General features: G+C 43.7%; 1 annotated feature.

Annotated features, from left to right (window-relative positions):
- Positions 16,060–16,654: an enhancer, noted in NCBI's record as "H3K27ac-H3K4me1 hESC enhancer chr7:29823644-29824238 (GRCh37/hg19 assembly coordinates)". NCBI's record gives its function as "activates a minimal SCP1, AML or CMV promoter by ChIP-STARR-seq in naive H9 embryonic stem cells {active_cell/tissue: H9 hESC(naive)}" and the evidence as "EXISTENCE:reporter gene assay evidence [ECO:0000049][PMID:30033119]".

Consider the following 19,915-nt stretch of genomic DNA (forward strand, 5'->3'; position numbering starts at 1 on the left):
TACTAAAAATATAAAAAATTAGCTGAGAGTTTTGGCAGGCACCTATAATCCCAGCTACTTGGGAGGCTGAGACAGAAGAATTGCTTGATCCTGGGGGGGGAGGTCACAGTGAGCCGAGATTGTGCCATTGCACTCCAGCCTGTGCAACAGGGCAAGACTCTGTCTCAAAAAAAAAAAAAAAAACTATATTAAAGACTTAAATGTAAAACCCAAATTTATAAAAATCCTGTAAGACAACCTATGTAATACTGTTCAAGACATAGGAACAGGCAAAAGTTTCACGGTGAAGACTCGGAAAGCAATTGCAACAAAAGTACAAATTAACAAATTAGATCTAATTAAACTTGAGAGCTTCTGCACAGCAAAAGAAACTATCATCAACACATTAAACAGACAACCTACAGAATGGGATCAAATATTTGCAAACTATGCTTCTGACAAAGTTCTAATATCCAAAAGCTATAAGGAACTTAAACAAATTTACAAGAGAGAAAAACAACTCCATTAAAAAGTGGGCAAAGGACATGAACAGACAGTTTTCGAAAAAAGACATTCATGTGGCCAACAAACATATGAAGAAAAAGCTCAACATCACTGATTACCAGAGAAATGTAAATCAAAACCACGATGAGATACCATCTACCACCAGTTAGAATGACTATTATTAAAGAGTCAAAAAATAACAGATGCTGGCGAGGTTGCGGAGAAAAGGGAATGCTTATACACTGTTGGTGGGAATGTAAATTAGTTCAGTCACTGTGGAAAGCAGTGTGGCAATTTCTCAAGGAGCTAAAAATAGAACCACCATTCGACCCAACAATCCCATTACTGGTATTTACCCAAAGGAATATAAATAGTTCTACCATAAAGATAAATGCACGCATATGTTCACTGCAGCAGGATTCACAGTAGCAAAGATACGGACTCAACCTAAATGCCCATCAATGGTAGACTGGATAAACAAAACGCGGTACTGGCTGGGCGCAGTGGCTCACGCCTGTAATCCCAGAACTTTGGGAGGCCGAGGCAGGTGGATCACCTGAGGTCAGGAGTTCGAGACCAGCCTGGCCAACATGGTGAAACCTTGTCTCTACTAAAAATACAAAAAATTAGCCAGGCATGGTGGTGGGCGCCTGTAATCCCAGCTACTCGGGAGGCTGAAGCAGCAGAATCGCTTGAACCCATGAGTCGGAGATCCTGAGCTGAGCTGAGATCGTGCCACTGCACTCCAGACTGGGCAACAAGAGTGAAATTCTGTCTCAAAAAAAAAAAAAAGAAAATCCGGTGCATATACACCGTAGATATGTACGGCATGGCCCCAAACCATGATCCTGGTACAAAAACAGACACATGGACCAACATAACAGAACAGAAAGCTGAGAAATAAGGCTGCATGCCTACAACCATCTGATCTTCCACAAAGCTGACAAAAACAAGCAATGGAGAAAGAACTCCCTGTTCAATAAATGATGCTGGGATAACCGGCTAGCCATAGGCAGAAGATTGAAACTGGACTCCTTCTTCACACCATACATTAAATCAACTCAAGGTAGATTAAAGACTTAAATATAAAATCCTTTACAGAGGTAAAATCTTTAAGATATTCTGGAAAAATAGATTAATAAAACCTCCAGAGTTTGATGGAACCATTTCCACCCCCTACAGAAACCTTTATTTGCCTGTCAACAACATCTGTCCAATCATTTTGGTTTCTGGCTTCTTCCACTAATGTCTCACTGTAACCACCATTACCAGCCCCTCTGCGTGGGTGTCTGGGTGTCTCCTGGTTCAGTGAGTCTCAAACTTGAATATACATGTGGATCACTTGGAGATTATGATTTAGGACTTCTAAGTCAGGCCCGAGTGTCTGCATTTCAAACAAGCTGCCAGGTGATGCCAATGCTGTTAGTTCACGGACCAAACTTTGAGCAAACTTAACATCATGCCTAACTTGGCATAACAGATGCCAGCTCTTTTTCCTTCTTCCAGGTGATACACAATTATGAGGCTTCCCCCTAGATAGGTCCCCTCCTGGATCACCCAATACACCTATGGAAACCCTCTCACTTGCAAAAAATCTGCAATTCCAATTGCGCTTCATACCTTCTCCTTCTGCTTGCTCACATCTTCCCCTCATGTCGTCTCCCTCCCTCCTTCTTTTCCCTCTCCCTCTGACCCATACCAGCTTCAGTGGAGTAATCTTTACTACAGTTCTTGTCATGGTGCTCCCTGTTAAATAACTGTAGCATGCGTTTCTTGCTACCCAGAGATTCTGTAATTACAATAATAATGTCTGCACACAATTTCTAGCCAGTCTGAAGACTGCACACTGTTGTGGGATGCGTGTATCACAATAAGAGGAAATACGTGGGAAGAGAATCAGAAAAAAGCTTGGAAGAACATTCTGTACTTTATGTTTTATTTACAAAGGCCCTTAATTATTTATTATGAGCATCATTATTCTTCCCTATAATCACAAGAGAAAAGAAAGCGTATTATTGAAGTTGAGGGATGTTAGCAGAGCCCCAGGGAAGGCTCCGGGGCCCCCACACAGCAGGAACAGGAGGAGTGTCCCACTGATAAAGACTGAGAGCTCAAGGCTGCATCCAATGTTCCCACCACCTCCAGGTGGGCTGCCCACGCCTGGCAGCGAGCAAGGCCACCTCAGGGTTTCTCCTTCATCACCATCCAGCACTGTGACTCTGAAACTTTTCAATTTCATGGAACCTTTCGAAAATCTGAATCTGAGCAAAGGGAAGGCCTCTGTGCACACAATCACGCAAGAAAACACAGACTCCTTAAAAGTTCAGGGTTCACAGTTTTCCCAAGGCCATGAAAAACGGACCCTAGACTTAAAAGTATCCACACAATAGAAGCATAAAAGAGCCATGCTCAAGAAATTGTCTAGAAGTGAGAGGTGCAGAGGACATTTGATGTAAAGTTAGGTCTGGATTCACACCCCACATCTGCCATTGCTAGGACATGAATTTGGGCACCTTGCTTAACCTCTCTGAAGTAGTGATACCTACCTTGTGGGCTCGCACCAAGGATTAAATGCAGTAAAGTACATGAAGGTACCTGCCAGGAAGCAGACATGCAATCGATAGTAGAGGAATGTATCACTCTGATTTGGGATGCAGAGGGACTTCTAAAAGTGGCAATTCTTACTCAGAATAAGAGATGTCTATGTGTTTTAATCCAAATTAAGAGGAGCCTTGCCCTCTTTGCCCATTTATTCAATGGCTGCTGGCCACTTGACAGCAGGGTCACTGCCCCACTCAGCAAGGTCACTGCCTCACTCAACAGGGTCTGGGTGAGCTGAGGCAGAGCAGTACACCTTCCACAATATGCCAGAAAAAAACACACTTGTGGTTACACTGGCCTCTGGAGCCTCAAAAAGCTGAAGAAGCCCAGAGAGATTTGCTTAAAAGCACTATTTGAAGTCCTTGGTAAAAAATGCAACCTAAGGACAATTGTATTTCTACATTGAAAGGCTTTTAAAACTACTTTAAATTGGAAGGTCAGAGCTTCAAAGAGCATAATGACTGGCTGTTTATCTCCATTACCCTCTGCTTCTGGTGCTTCTGTGAACATGTTCTGACCTCAAACTGTGAGTGGAAATGCAGGAAGGATGCTGTCTGTGCATTAGTGAGAGCCTTGAAACTTGCCTAGAGCACTTCTGAAACTCTGCCAAGATGAAATAAATAGCATATAGCCTCCCTTCAAATCTCAACTTGAAAATGACACTGGCCAGGCGCAGTGGCTCACGCCTGTAATCCTAGCACTCTGGGAGGCCGAGGCAGGTGGATCTCGAGGTCAGGAGTTTGAGACCAGCCTGGTCAATATGGTGAAACCCTGTCTCTACTAGAAATACAAAAAGTAGCCAAGCATGGTGATGCATGCCTGTAGTCCCAGCTACTCAGGAGGCTGAGGCAGGAGAATCACTTGAACCCTGAAGGCAGAAGTTGCAGTGAGCCGAGATTGTGCCACTCCACTCCAGCCTGGTGACAGAGCGAGACTCCGTCTCAAAAAAAAAAAAAAAAAAAAAAGTGACACTGTACATCTTTGAATTAAAAGATTCAAAATATTTTAAAGCATTTGACAGGTTTTACTAGAAAGAGAAGTTGTGATGATTACATGAGAAAAAGTTATTTTCAGACATCATAGATCTAAGTGTGAAAACAAAACTAATCAGGCTTCTAAAAGAATATAGAAGAGAGATTTTTATCACTATCTTAGTCTGTTTGTGCTGCTATAACAAAATGCCATGGACTGGGTAATTTATAAGAACTGACATTTATTTCTCACAGTTTTAGAGGCTGAGAGTCCAAGTTAAATGCACCAGTAGCTTTGATTGTCAAGTAAGGGCCTAGTCTCTGCTCCCAAGTTGGGGCCCTGTTGCTGAATCGGATGGAGGAGATAAATGCTGTATCCTCACATGGCAGAGGGACAGAAAGGCAAGAGGTGCAAACTCCCTCTGTCAAGTCCTTTTATAAGGACACCTAATCCCATTCATGAAGGCAGAGTCCTCATGACTCAATTGCCTCCAAAAGGCCACACTTACTAATACTGTTGCATTGGGAATTAAGTTTCAACATGAATTTTGAAGGAACAGAAACCCTTCATTGCAATGGTCATTGCAAGGTCATAGCAATGACCTTGGGGTAAGCAAAAGTTTCTTAAACAGACCATGAAAAGAGCTAACCATAAAAGAAAAAAATTGATAAACTTTTTTTAGTATGAAGAACCTTCTGTCCATCAAAAGACACCATTAAGAGAGTTAAGACTGGGTGCGGTGGCTCACGCCTCTAATCCCCAGCACTCTGGGAGGCTGGGGTGGGTGGGTCACTTGAGGTCAGGAGTTTGAGACCAGCCTGGCCAACATGGTGAAACCCCATCTCTACTAAAAATACAAAAAATTAGACGGGCGTGGTGGCACGTGTCTGTAATCCCAGTTACTCAGGAGGCTAAGGCAGGAGAATTGCTTGAACCTGGGAGGCGAAGTTGGCAGTGAACCGAGATCATGCCACTGCACTCCGAACTGGGAGAAAAGATATTTGCAATACACATATCTAATAAATAAATAGTATGAAAGACTCCTTTAAATTGTTTTAACAGATAAAAATAAAATTTTAAATGTTCAAAAGACTGGAACAGGGGGCCGGGCACGGTGGTTTATGCCTGTAATCCCAGCACTTTGAGAGGCCAAGGCGGATGGATCACCTGAGGTCAGGAGTTCGAGTCCACCCTGGCCAACATGGTGAAACTCCGTCTCTACTAAATATACAAAAATTAGCTGGGCATGGTGACATATGTCTGCAATCCCAGCTACTCGGGAGGCTGAGGCAGGGAGAATTGCTTCAGGTGGAAGTGGAGGTTGCAGTGAGCTGAGAGCGTGCCACTGCACTCCAGCCTGGGCAACAGAATGAGACTCAGTCTCAAAAAAAAAAAAAAGACTTGAACAGACACTTCACAAAAGACAATATCCAAATGGTCAATGTGTGCATGAAGAGAGTTGCTCAAAACCATCAGTCATCAGGGAAATGAAAGTTAAATCACAGTGAGATACCACTACTCACCCACCAGAATGGCTACAATAAAGAAGATTGACAGTACCAACAGTGGGAGAGAATGCAGACAACTGGAGCCCCCACATGCTCCTGGTGGGAATGTAAATTTCTTTGAACATCTTTATGTGTGATCCCTGTGAAGATGGAGAGTGCTGAAAGAGAAGAAAGCACCTAATAGTAGGTGTTACGGACTGAATGTTTTGTCTTCCCCAAATTTATATGTTGAAACCTAATGCCCAATGTGATGGTATTAGGAAGTTAAGCCTTTGGGAGATGATTAGGTCAAGAGAGTGGAGCACCCATGAATGCAGTTAGTGCCCTTATAAGAAAAGACCCAAGAGAGATGATTTGTCTCTTGGTCCTGTGAGGATACAACCAGAAGACAGCTATCTGCAAACCTGGAAGAGGGCCCTCATCAGACACTGAATCAGCTGATCTGGGACTTCCCAGCCCCCAGAATTGTGAAAAAATAAATGTTTGTTGTTTAAGTCACCCAATCTATAGTATTCTGTTATGGCAGCCTGCAATGACCAGGATAGTAGGGAGTATTTTTTTTAAGTGAGCCATGGTTGAGGAGGTGAATATCAAGTCTCTCTTACACTTGAGCTCACTTGAAGCCATCCTTAGCTACTGGTTGGTGCACTTGGAGATGTCAGCTTGTCTTTGTTTAGTCCTTCTCTCCTTGTTGTATATTTTTTTTCTTCCTTTCTCTTGAGTTTAGATCTCTGGGTTTGGAGCCATTGATCTGCTTCAGCCACACTCCCCCACCAACTCCTCCAGTTTCCAACAATTTTTCTTTTTTTTTTTTCACTTTTGGGGGGATAAACAAATAAATGGACAAGCAGGTGAATGGATTTACTTCCCATTGCTGCAAAATGCATGCCTAAGCAGCTTCTTCCCATATTGATACGGGTTCTTTGTCAAAAGATACTCAGGATTACTGTAGACTGAAATGTAGTCTTTTAGTGTAATAATTTTTCTTTCTTAAACATGAATGCTCATGATTATCATCTTATTTAGTAAACTATCCTTGATCCTTCTTCACGCCCATCATTTGGTCATTTTATTGTGCTTCTAAGTGCCTGATTTCTCCTTCGGTTCCTGACACCCTCCTGCTGAGGTCTTTACAACCTACCAGTGCTCACAGTTCCGTGAATTCTTCATTCAGCCAATGGTACCATTTGCCAAGGACAATTTGAGAATATTGGATCACAGCCTCTTTTCACAGCCTATGAACATGTTCTGTGCTTGGAGTTAGAGACACAGTTTTTGAAAGCAAATTTTTTTGTTGTTGTTTGAGACAGAGTCTCGCTGTCACCCAGGCTGGAGTGCAGTGGCACGATCTCGGCTCACTGCAAGCTCCACCTCCCAGGTTCATGTCATTCTCCTGCCTCAGCCTTCCGAGAAGCTGGGACTACAGGTGCCCACCACCACGCCCAGCTAATTTTTTGTATTTTTAGTAGAGATGGGGTTTCACCATGTTAGCCAGGATGGTCTCGATCTCCTGACCTCGTGATCCACCTGCCTCGGCCTCCCAAAGTGCTAGAATTTACAGGCGTGAGCCACCGCACCCGGTCGAAAGTAAATTTTTAAATACAGGCTAATTGGCCGGGCGCAGTGGCTCACGACTGTAATCCCAGTACTTTGGGAAGCCAAAGTGGGTGGATCACCTGAGGTCAGGAGTTCGAGACCAGCCTGGCCAACATGGTGAAATCCCATCTCTACTAAAAATATGAAAATTAGCTGGGCATGTTGGCATGCACCTGCAATCCCAGCTACCTGGGAGGCTGAGGCAGAAGAATCACTTGAACCCAGGAGGTGGAGGTTGCAGTGAGCCAAGATCACACCACTGCACTCCAGCCTCGGTGACAGAGTGAGACTCTGTCTCAAAAAAATTAATTAATTAATCAATTTTAAAAAATAAATGAATACAAGCTAATCTCAATTTTTCCTAGATTTAGTACATAGTACATTAATGTTCATGTGGATTATTTTCCTGAGCAGATCCTGACATTGAGACTCCTAAATACTTCCATGTATCTAATTCAAGCAATTGCAGGAAGGACAGATTTGTATGCAAGACCATTTCTAGGAAATATATCAGTAATTTTTAAATCTCCTAAACTCTGCTCATCTCCATCAACATTTGGAACTTGCAGTGCCAAGCGGAAGTTTCCTGTTTTCCTTTGTTCTAACCAGAATTATATAGATGGGCTCTACCCTTGTGACAGACACCATTTATCATCTACTCAGTATTCATTTCCCCCTACCACCACCCTATTCCTCCTCTGAATGCACCACCCTTATTTTTCTCCAGGGAATACCAGGCAATGCATCTCTGCCTGGAACAGCAATCTCATTCCCCCGACCTGTGATGGGTCTAGGGATGGCATGTGCCCCAGTTCTGCCACTGAGATGTATGCAGAATCTGCCAGTTAGAGCCTCAGAGGAAATGGCTGCTTTCTTGATGGGAAGGAAAAAGCCTGCTTGTCCTGGCTCCTTGCCCTTTTACCTTTACTTTTCTCTTGTCCTCATTCTTCCTTCCTGGAACACAAATGTGATACTAGAGCTATAGGAATCACCATGTGACCAAAAGGGAACAATCAAGAGAAATGCAGAGACATCAGCCCTAATGTTGTTGAGCTGTTCAATCAGCAGGCAACATCCCATCTCTGGACTTGTTATGTGAGAAAAATTAACCTCTAATAGTTTAAGCCTGTCTATTTTGTTTTCTGTTACTTGCAGCCAAAAGCATTCCTAGCAGATGCCTCCATTATTATCATGAGGTAACTAATATGTATTAAGCAGCTTCCATGCATCAAGGATTGAGCTGTTTTGCATATGCTAGTTCCTTGGCTCCTCAGACAGCCCTATGAAGTAGCTCTTAGCATCTTTGTTTATAGATTAGGGCACTGAGTTCAAAGAGATTAAGGAAAAGGTAGACCAAGATGAAACCCAGGCCTATCTGACTCTACTACCCCAGTTCTTCCTATCCCACCATACTGCTGGGAAGGGCAGATGGCAGCTTGCCCTATTTTGGCTAAAATTTGAGCCTTTGGATAGTGAAGTAGGAGCATTTGGTGGTTTGGGTTTTTTTATTATTATTTCAGATAATGATAAGTACCATGAAAAAATTAAAAAGAATTACAGATAGTAACTAGAGAATGACCCTAGTGACTACAGATTGGAAGTCAGAAAAACTTCTTTGAGAAGGAAATAATTGAGCAGAGTCCTGAATAATAAGGATGAACCAACCACACAAAGATCTGACAGAGAGTGTTCCAGGCTGGGAACAGCACGTGCAAATGCCCTGAGATGCAAGCAAGCCTCAAGTACGGCAGTGAGTTGGGCATAATAAGCCAGGAAGTAAGACATGAAGTCAGAGAGGCAGCAATGTGTAGGGTCTTGTGAGCTGTGGAGGAAAGTTTGGAAGGCATTGGAGGGTTTTACTCAGGCAGGTGACTTGATCTGATTTACCTTTTAAAAAGACCACTCTGCAGCTGTGTAAAGAATGGACTGTACAGAGGTTAAAAGTGGAGGCAGAGAGACCAGTTGGGAGGCTATTGCAGTAATCCAGGCAAAAGAAGATGGTGGCTCAGACCAGGGTGGTAAACAGCAGAAAAAGTGGTGGGATAGGGGTAAGTTGTGAAGACAGAACTAACAGGGCTTGATTTTGATTCATTATAGGGGTTAAGAGAAAGAGGAGTCAAAATCATTCTGGTGGGCTGGCAGCTCCATTTGCTAGGATGGAGAGGACTAAGGTGGATCACTTCGGGGAGGGCCTGGTGGAAGGGGGTAGGACTTGGGAACTAAGAGTTCCCTTTAGATCATGCTGTGTTTGAGATGCTTATGAAACATCCCGTGGAGATGTTGAGTGGGCAGTTAAATGAGGTAACAACAATTAATTGGGCACCTGCTATACGCAAGTGTCCTCGTAAGTGTTACTGTGCTTCACACTCAGCTTTATGAAATGACTGGGTATTAGTACTGTCATCAAGCCCAGAAATCCAGATAAGGACAAAGGAAACTTACCCAATGGCTAAGTTACTTGCCTGAGATCCCACCTCAGGTAGGTGGCAGCCAGGACATGAACTCAGGGTTTAAGGTTCCAAAACCTATGGTTTTCCCTAGTCCCACCCAGTAAAACAGTCCCAGGGAGAGCTTTCAAAATTCTTTCTGAGGATATTGTGGAAATTTGAGGCAGATGCAGAGCCTGCTTTGTGGGGGTGGGGCTTCCTTAGGCCAGGACACTAAGCTTCTTTAGGGATCATTCCCTGGGCAACCTCAATCCCTTCTTAAAGAGAAGAGGAAGAGATTTTTTATGGACTAATGAGATTTTTACCTTCTGTTTAAGTTTATTAAATCTGAAAAACTTTCAATTTTAGAGCAAAGATGGATTCTCTTTCATCACCTCTTCTAGGGATTTTTTTTTTAAATTTGACATTACCTGACCATATAGAAGATATTCTCAAATGCTCTTGTGAAGGGGAGAGAGAGAACTGTTCACTTTCTAGGCTGGAAAAAGAGCAGCTGCCAACACAAGTGCATTAAGGTGCCTGCCCATGGTTATTTAACCTGCGACAATTTCTTTAAAAACTCCTGGAAATGTGTGGTGAGAAATGGCGAAACCTGTCATTACTCAAACCAAAAATGAACCATGATTCCATCTTCTGAGGGCTGCCAAACAGCAATAGTAGCGAAATAAAAATGGATGTCAGAGCTGGGAGCCTTGGCTAAGGTGTTCAGAGGGAGGATAATAAGATACCCAGGAAGAAAGAGGAAGGTTAGACTTCTTGACTTATTGTTTCCTTACACATCGTGGTGCCAGCAAGTACTTGTGATCTTAGGGGTTCATAAAAGTATTCTAGAATACACTTTTTATTCCCAGATAGTGCAGTAAATGTCCCAGGAGAATTGATAAATGTCAAATTGGGCAGCATTTGAAGCTCAGTCTCTAGGGAACATTTTCTTTTTCAAATTCATATAGGGACACAATACAGATTTCCATCTTCTGTCTCTCTCTTTCTCCCCGTTTTTCTCCCCAGTAATTCCAAGGAGAAAAATCCTTGATAGAATGCAATAAGTTAATGTTCTGAGCTTGAATAGTGCTTCGATTTGCTTTTCCCTCCCTCAGTCTTGTCTTCGGAGTTATATAAAACCTGACATAATCATTTTTGTTCATCAAGCTTTAAATTAAGTGCAATTTATGGATAATTGCAATAATGTCTCTGATTCCTTTGTGCTGAAATCACCAGAGTGCTGCCCAATAGCCAATCCTGAAGATTTTGGATTGCTCCAAAGATCTTTTCTCCTGCCCTGTTTCCTTAAAAGGATAGATAAAGAGAAATCCTGACTATTTACTGGATTCCATGCCATATCCTCCTACCCCTCAGTGAATTCAAAACCCAGCAACAGTCTAGCAACTTTGCAAATTTTTACTTGCCACAGTTACCTCAACCAAGTAAAACTTGATGCTGGAGGATGGGTGAGGAAGGAATAGAGAAGATTCTTAGATTAATTGAGTTCAACCTACTAAAGCACCCAAGCTTACATGGTTTTTGAATTATTATTTGCAAATCTATACCCCACCAAGCAACCATAACTATATTATCAAGATGGAAGCCCAGCAGTTCCAATCCTAAGCAAGTACTTGTGCTTTTTTAAAAAAGGAGAAGTGGATTATTTGTTTGGTTAATTAGCTGTTGCCTCCTCAACTGCTTAGAATTTTCTCATTGCACTAATTCAATTATCTAATTAACACCAAGACGATATGGTTCTGCAATGCATTTCACTTATGCTTCATGTGTATTCTCTCATTTCTTTATCGTAACTGTACATAGGCTAGCTTTCCTATTATCTTATTATCCCTATTTTCTACATGAGAAAAACAAGGTTCATAGCAGTAATGCAAATTAAGACAGAGACCAAAGTTTAGGCTTTGACATTTGATTCTACATGTGACTCTCTATTACATGGGCTAAGTCAGATAGGGTCTTCAGCTTGTTTGAAAATTCTTTAATGAGAGATGCTTTTAAGCCACTTTAAAAAATTTCAAGCTAGTATATTGATAGTTGGTTTCATTCCTTAACAGGTAGAATGCGTGTCTGCAAACTACTAAATTTAAAGCCTAAGAGAGGAGGAATACCATGGGGTTTATCCTACCCAGAGACTAGCACAGTTCCCTGCACAAAGAGGGTGATCTATTGATATTTCACAAATGAATGAATTTCTGGGTAGTTATTATAAAACATCGTTATTTTACTTTAAAACATAACTAAGATAAAATTATATCCCAATTTCAAAAATATAAATATTAGCATATGGATAAGAAATCTAGAAAAACATACAACAGATTTTTAATGTCTGACACGTGATTAAAAAAGAACAAAATGAATGAGAATAAAACACATTACAGAGCCTTTGTGCAGCGAGTGTAGACAGACTTTTTTTTAAATCCCAGATCTTCCACTGTCCACAGTATGGTTTTGAGCAAGTTACTTAAGCCCTTTGCACCTCATTTTCGTCACTTGACAAACAGGGATAATTATAATAGTGTATACTTCATAGTATTGCTGTACTAATTAAATAAATAATGTGTATATAGTATCAAGCAATTAGCTATCAAGCAATTAGCTAGTTTTTTTTTTTTTTTTTTTTTTTTAAGACAGAAGGTCTCTCTCTGTTGCCCAGGCACAATCATAGCTCACTGCATCCTTGAACTCCTGGGCTCAAGTAATCCTCCCACCCTAGCCTCCCAAGTAGCCAAGACTACAGGCACACAGCCATTACACCCAGCTAATTATTTTATTTTTTGTACAGACAGGTCTCACTAAGTTGCTCAGGCTGGTCTCGAACTCCTGGCCTCAAATGATCCTCTTGTCTTGGTCTCCCAAAGTGCTAAGATTACAGGCATGAACCACCATGCCTGGCCAGCTATTCTTACTATTGTCATCATGTCATTTCTCCTCAGTTCACATTTCTGTGACCTGAGTATCACCATGCCATGACCTACTTTCATTGGCAAATATAATGGAAAGCTGACTACAATCGCAAACATCAGTAGCATTACACACATGAAATGTGAGAACTAGAACTTTGGTTTCTCCATCCTTCTCTCTTAACCCACAAAGGAAGCAGCAAGGGAATTGCTGAGCCTATAGTTATATGGAAGAAGAAAGAAGGCAACTGCCTGCAGCCCATCTGGCATGTGCCAATGGCAGATGGAGAGATGGCACACATGCCTTTTGCTATGGGTCTTTGTCCCAATTTCTTTATTTTATGGCTTATTTATATCTTTGGGTGGGGAGAGAAAACCTGTCCACATTCTACCTACCAAGTGCATTCTAGAAATTTCATGTTAAATCGTTGTTCACTAACTTCCAGAGCCAAGTCAAGAGAGTGCAGTAAACAATATCTAATTTTGTTACTTTTTGTTTTTTAGTAACCAAGAAGTCAACCAGAGAAATTTTAGCACTGGGACAACAGGCCCCATGGAGGGGTGAGGAGAGAGTGAGGGACTGAAAATTGCAGGATTATAAATCTGCATACTTAACAGTAAGGTATCACTCTCCTGCTCAGATCCCAGAATTTCCACAATCAGGTTGACTATACTCCCATGGGAGGTTAGAAGATTCTTCTCTGGAAAAACTCAATAGACTTAGCGAAAAACATCTTCAAATGTTGACATCAGGGGATTATCCAGTAAAGGACTGTCAACTTCCTGATCCCCGCTAGGAGCCTACCAATCAACAAGGCTCATCCAGGGACATGGAGCTTCCAACCGGAGAATGGACTTTTTCAATATAATTGGCAATGAAAGATTACCTGGTATTTGGGGAAAGCTTCTAACATGCAAAACAGAGATACAAGCAAATAACAAAAAGGAACTTGGAGGCCAGAAACAGTGCTGGAAATAGAAAACTTCTCCATAAACAAAAAACAGTGGTAAGAGAAGATATTGCAACTATGAGATAAGAGCAATCACAAAACAAAGAACCCTGGAAAATTATAAAACTGAAAGCCAAACCAAAGAAGAAAATGTCAAGTAAGTGTCCAAGAAAGTTCACCAAAAAGCAAATCAGAGAAAACAATGTTAAAACTATTAATATTTTTATTTTTGAGACAGGGTCTCACCCTGTCACCTAAGCTGGACTGCAGTAGCACAATCATGTCTCACTGCAGCCTCAACCTCCCAGGCTTCAGCAATCCTCTCACCTCAGCCTCCCAAGTAGCTGGGGTTACAGGCATGTACCACCACGCCCAGCTAATTGTTTTTTATTATTTGTAGAGATGGGGTCTCACTATGTTGCCCAGGCTGGTTTCAATCTCCTGGGCTCAAGTGATCCTCCCGCCTCAAACTCCCAAAGTGCTGGGATTACAGGAATAAGCCACTGCGCTCAGCCAACAATATTAAAATTAGAGTATCAGTCTAGGAGGTCTGTGTCAGAAAGCTTAGGTTTGGGTACATATAACAGAAAACCAAAGATAATAGTGGCTTAAATGCACAAGGATTTATTCTCTCTCAAATGGAGATAGGCAAGCTAAGGTTAATATGGCAGCTCCAGAGAGATTGCCTCTATCTTTTTATTCTGCCTTTTTCAGCATGTGGCTACTATCCTCAAATTCACATCATAGTCTAAAGTATGCTGGAGCTCTGGCCATCCTGTCTGCATTCCAGTATCAGGAAAGAGGAAGCCAGGCAGGACATAGGGACAGCTGGCCAGGTCAGTGCCAAAAGCAATTTTCCAAGAAATCCTATACCAATACCTCCACTGATGTCTTATTGGCCAGAACAGTAATCTGGTTCCCTCTAGCTGCAAAGGAGTCTGGGAAATGTATTCTTTTATCTGGGTACTTTACCACAGCCAACTAATAAGTGTTTTCCTACTAAGGAAGAAAGGGAGGATATAAATATATTTAGGTAGGCAATAGCAGTCTTTATTACAGGGTCCCATTTCTGGTTAACAGGAAGTCTGTGAAGAGTGACTAGAGAAAATGGATAGGAGGAAATTACTCAGAATTCATATAAGGAAAATATATTTCCAGATGGATGGACTGCTAAGGATCAAGCATAATGAATAAGAAAGGATCCCACCAAGGCCCATCCTTATAAGATTTCAGATTATTGGACACAAAGAGAAGATCCAGGCTAAGTTCACAAACAGTGGATCAGGGCTAAGGATGGCAAGGGACTCTCAGCAGCACCCCTGGGAACTAGAAGATAGTGGAACAGCACCGTTAAAATTCTCAGGAACGGCCAGGTGCTGTGGCTCACACCTGTAATCCCAGCACTTTGGGAGGCCAAGGAGGGTGGATCACAAGGTCAGGAGATCGAGACCATCCTGGCTAACACGGTGAAACCCTGTCTCTACTAAAAATACAAAAAATTAGCCGGGCGTGGTGATGGGCGCCTGTAGTCGCAGCTACTCGGGAGGCTGAGGCAAGAGAATGGCGTGAACCCAGGAGGCAGAGCTTGCAGTGAGCTGAGATTACACCACTGCACTCCAGCCTGGGGGACAGAGCGAGACTCTGTCTCAAAAAAAAAAAAAAAAAAATTTCTCAGGAACATGAGTTCTACACCTGGAAAAATGAATAATCAAGTTTACAGAGATTCTCAACTGTTGAAAAATGTTCTTGAGAAGAAACTAAGAAAAAAGAGAATGTGGAATTTAGGAAACAGTGGAGCCAACATGGGAGGAAGGATGAAGGAATTCCCAGTGATATGGGAGGGAGACAGGGAAGTGCTGGGTAGAGAAGGGCAGGGTCCCTAGCGAGGACTCCACCATCGGGTTTGTGCCCACGGACCTAAGTGAGAACAGGCACTCCAGTTTTTGTGCCCAAATGTTGCATTTTCGAAGACTACTGTGACCTGCCACGCCCCCCATCCTGTGTCTATACAAACTCAAGACAGTAACAGGCATAGACACAAGCAGCTGGACGAGCAGAGGAGCAGAAGAGCACACCAACAGGCACCAGCAGACACTTGGAGGCCATCGATGGCAGGCGACATGGAATTCAGTGGGGGGCGGTTGGAGGAAAGTCTGGGCTCTGGGCGGCCTGATTCCAGGGAAGACCACCTTCCCACTCCATCCCCCTTTTAGCCTCCCCATCCATCTCACCAAGAGCTACTTCCACCAGTAAAGGACAATAAAAGTCAATAAAACCTTGTACCCATCCTCCAAGCCCACATGTGGGCTTTCCAGTACACTAGGGCAAGAACCCAGGACACAGAAAGCCCTCTGTCCTTGCAATAAGACAGAAGATCTAATTGAGCTGATTAACACAAGCTGCCTGTGGACGGCAAAACTGAAAGAGCACACTGTTAACACATGCCCACTGGGGCTTCAGGAGTTGTAAACACTCAACCCTAGACACTGCCATGGAGTTGGAGACCATGCTTCCCATGACCTGCCTGTCTGCATGCTCCCCATAGGGGTTTGAGCAGGGGGGCACCAAAGAAGAGAGCCACGCCCTGTCACAAGTTCTGCCAGGGGGATAAGGAAACTTCCCATTCCACCAGGATGGCAGCTGTTTAGCAGGCCTAGGGAGCAGCCAGCCCAGTTTAGAGTAGGAGAAAATAATGGATAGATTATTTGAAATTTACACTGTAAAACTAGGGGTGGAAGAAAATTTAGCAATAGATCCAAATAAAACTAATCCAATTTAAATAAATGAACCAATTATAAGCCAGAGAGCAGCGGCTCACACCTGTAATCACAATGCTTTGAGGGGCCAGGGCAGGAGGATCTCTTGAGCCCAGGAGTTTGAGACCAGCCTGGGCAAAATAGTGAAACCTCGTCTCTACAAAAAGTTAAAAAAATTAGCCAGCTGGCCGGGCACAGTGGCTCACACCTGTAATCCCAGCACTTTGGGAGGCCGAGGTAGGCAGATCATGAGGTCAGGAGTTCAAGACCAGCCTGACCAATATGATGAAACCCCATCTTACTAAAAATACAAAAATTACCTGGGTGTGGTGGTGTGCACTTGTAGTCCCAGCTACTCTGGAGGCTGAAGCAGGAGAATTGCTTGAACCCAGGAGGCGGAGGTTGCAGTGAGTCAAGATCACACCACTGCACTCCAGCCTGGGCAACAGAGTGAGACTCTGTCTCAAAAAAAAAAAAAAATAGTCAGCTGTCGTGGTGTGCACCCACGTGTGTCCTAACTACTTGGGAAGATGAAGTGGGAGGATCGCTTGAGCGCAGGAATTCAAGGTTACGGTGAGCTATGATAACACCACTGCACTCCAACCTGGGTGACAGAGCAAGATCCTGTCTCAAAAATAAAAAAAAAACATTTAAGCAATTACAAAAGCAAATCTTCATCTACCATGATACAAGTTAGATGATAACGTCTAAAACGTTTGAGAAACGATTGAGAAATAGAAGTTTATGCATATTTATAAACACATAGATGCAGACAACAAAAGAAAAAAAACAAAAATAGAGAGTGGTTGCTGTCAGGCCTCTGAGCCCAAGCCAAGCCATTGCATCCCCTGTGACCTGTACATATATATCCAGATGGCCTGAAGTAACTGAAGATCCACAAAAGAAGTAAAAATAGCCTTAACTGATGACATTCCACCATTGTGATTTGTTTCCGCCCCACCCTAACTGATCAATGTACTTTGTAATTCTCCCCACCCTTGAGAATGTACTTTGTGAGATCCACCCCTGCCCGCAAAACATTGTTCTTAACTTCACCGCCTATCCCAAAACCTATAAGAACTAATGATAATCCACCACCCTTTGCTGACTCTCTTTTTGGACTCAGCCCACCTGCACCCAGGTGAAATAAACAGCCATGTTGCTCACACAAAGCCTGTTTGGTGGTCTCTTCACACAGACGCGCATGAAATTTGGTGCCGTGACTCAGATTGGGGGACCTCCCTTGGGAGATCAATCCCCCGTCCTCCTGCTCTTTGCTCCATGAGAAAGATCCACCTACGACCTCAGGTCCTCAGACCGACCAGCCCAAGAAACATCTCACCAATTTCAAATCCGGTAAGTGGCCTCTTTTTACTCTCTTCTCCAACCTCCCTCACTATCCCTCAACCTCTTTCTCCTTTCATTCTTGGCGCCACACTTCAATCTCTCCCTTCTCTTGATTTCAATTCCTTTCATTTTCTGGTAGAGACAAAGGAGACACATTTTATCTGTGGACCCAAAACTCCGGCGCTGGTCACGGACTGGGAAGGCAGCCTTCCCTTGGTGTTTAACCATTGCAGGGACGCCTCTCTGATCATTCACCCACGTTTCAGCGGTGTCAGACCACGCAGGGATGCCTGCCTTGGTCCTTCACCCTTAGCAGCAAGTCCCACTTTTCTGGGGGAGGGGCAAGTACCCCAGCTCCTTCTCTCCATGTCTCTACCCCTTCTCTGATTTTCTGGGGCAGAGGCAAGAACCCCCCAACCCCTTCTCCTTCACCCTTAGCAGCAAGTCCTGCTTTTCTGGGGGAGGGGCAAGTACCCCAACCTTGTATCTCTGCACCCCAATCCCTTATTTCCATGCCCCAACCCCTTTCCCGCTTTTCTGGAGGGTAAGAACCCCCAAACCCCTTCCCTCCATGTCTCTATGCTCCCTTTTCTCTGGGCTTGCCTCCTTCACTATGGGCAACCTTCCTACATTCCTCCTTCTTCTCCCTTAGCCTGTGTTCTCAAGAACTTAAAACCTCTTCAACTCACACCTGACCTAAAACCTAAATGCCTTATTTTCTTCTGCAATGCCGCTTGACCCAATACGAACTCGACAGTAGTTCCAAATAGCCAGAAAATGGCACTTTGAATTTTTCCATCCTGCAAGATCTAAATAATTCTTGTCATAAAATAGGCAAACGGTCTGAGGTGCCTGACGTCCAGGCATTCTTTTACACATCAGTCCCTTCCTAGTCTCTGTGCCCAGTGCAACTCGTCCCAAATCTTCCTTCCCCTCAGTCCCAACCCCAAGCGTCACTGAGTCTTTCTAATCTTCCTTTTCTACAGACCTATCTGACCTCTCCCCTCCTTGCCAGGCCGAGCTAGGTCCCAATTCTTCCTCAGCCTCCGCTCCTCCACCCTATAATCCTATCACCTCCCCTCCTCACACCAGGTCTGGCTTACAGTTTCGTTCTGTGGGAGGCCCCACCTGCCCAGCAATTTATTCTTAAAAAGGTGGCTGGAGCTAAAGGCATAGTCAAGGTTAACACTCCTTTTTCTTTATCCCAAATCAGATAGCGTTTAGGCTCTTTTTCATCAAATATAAAAATCCAGCCCAGTTCATGACTTGTTCGGCAGCAACCCTGAGACACTTTACAGCCCTAGACCCTAAAAGGTCAAAAGGCCGTCTTATTCTCAAAATACATTTTATTACCCAATCTGCTCCCGACATTAAATAAAACTCCAAAAATTAAATTCTGACCCTCAAACCCCACGACAGGATTTAATTAACCTCGCCTTCGAGGTGTACAATAATAGAAAAAAGTTGCAATTCCTTGCCTCCACTGTGAGACAAACCCCAGCCACATCTCCAGCACACAAGAACTTCCAAAGGCCTGAACTGCAGCGGCCAGGCGTTCCTCCAGAACCTCCTCCCCCAGGAGCTTGCTACAAGTGCCAGAAATCTGACCACCAGGCCAAGGAATGCCTGCAGCCCAGGATTCCTCCTAAGCCGTGTCCCATCTGTGCGGGACCCCACTGGAAATCGGACTGTTCAACTCACCTGGCAGCCACTCCCAGAGCCCCTGGAACTCTGGCCCAAGGCTCTCTGACTGACTCCTTCTCGGCTTAGCGGCTGAAGACTGACGCTGCCCGATCGCCTCTGAAGCTCCACAGACCATCACGGACACCGAGCTTTGGGTAACTCTCACAGTGGAGGGTAAGTCCATCCCCTGTTTAATCGAAACCGGGACTATGCACTCCACGTTGCCTACTTTTCAAGGGCCTGTTTCCCTTGCCTCCATAACTGTTGTGGGTATTGACGGCCAAGCTTCTAAACCCCTGAAAACTCCCCCACTCTTGTGCCAACTTGGACAACACTCTTTTATGCACTGCTTTTTAGTTATCCCCACCTGCCCAGTTCCCTTATTAGGCCGAGATATTTTAACCAAATTATCTGCTTCCCTGACTATTCCTGGACTACAGCTACATCTCATTGCTGCCCTTCTCCCCAACCCAAAGCCTCCTTCGCGTCTTCCTCTCATATCCCCCCCACCTTAACCCACAAGTATGGGACATCTCTACTCCTTCCCTGGCAACTGATCACATGCCCGTTACCATCCCATTAAAACCTAATCACCCTTACCCCGCTCAACGCCAATATCCCATCCCACAGCACGCTTTAAAAGGATTAAAGCCTGTTATCACTCGCCTGCTA

Source organism: Homo sapiens, chromosome 7 (assembly GCF_000001405.40).
Source record: "Homo sapiens chromosome 7, GRCh38.p14 Primary Assembly".
In the NCBI taxonomy this organism is placed as follows: domain Eukaryota; kingdom Metazoa; phylum Chordata; class Mammalia; order Primates; family Hominidae; genus Homo; species Homo sapiens.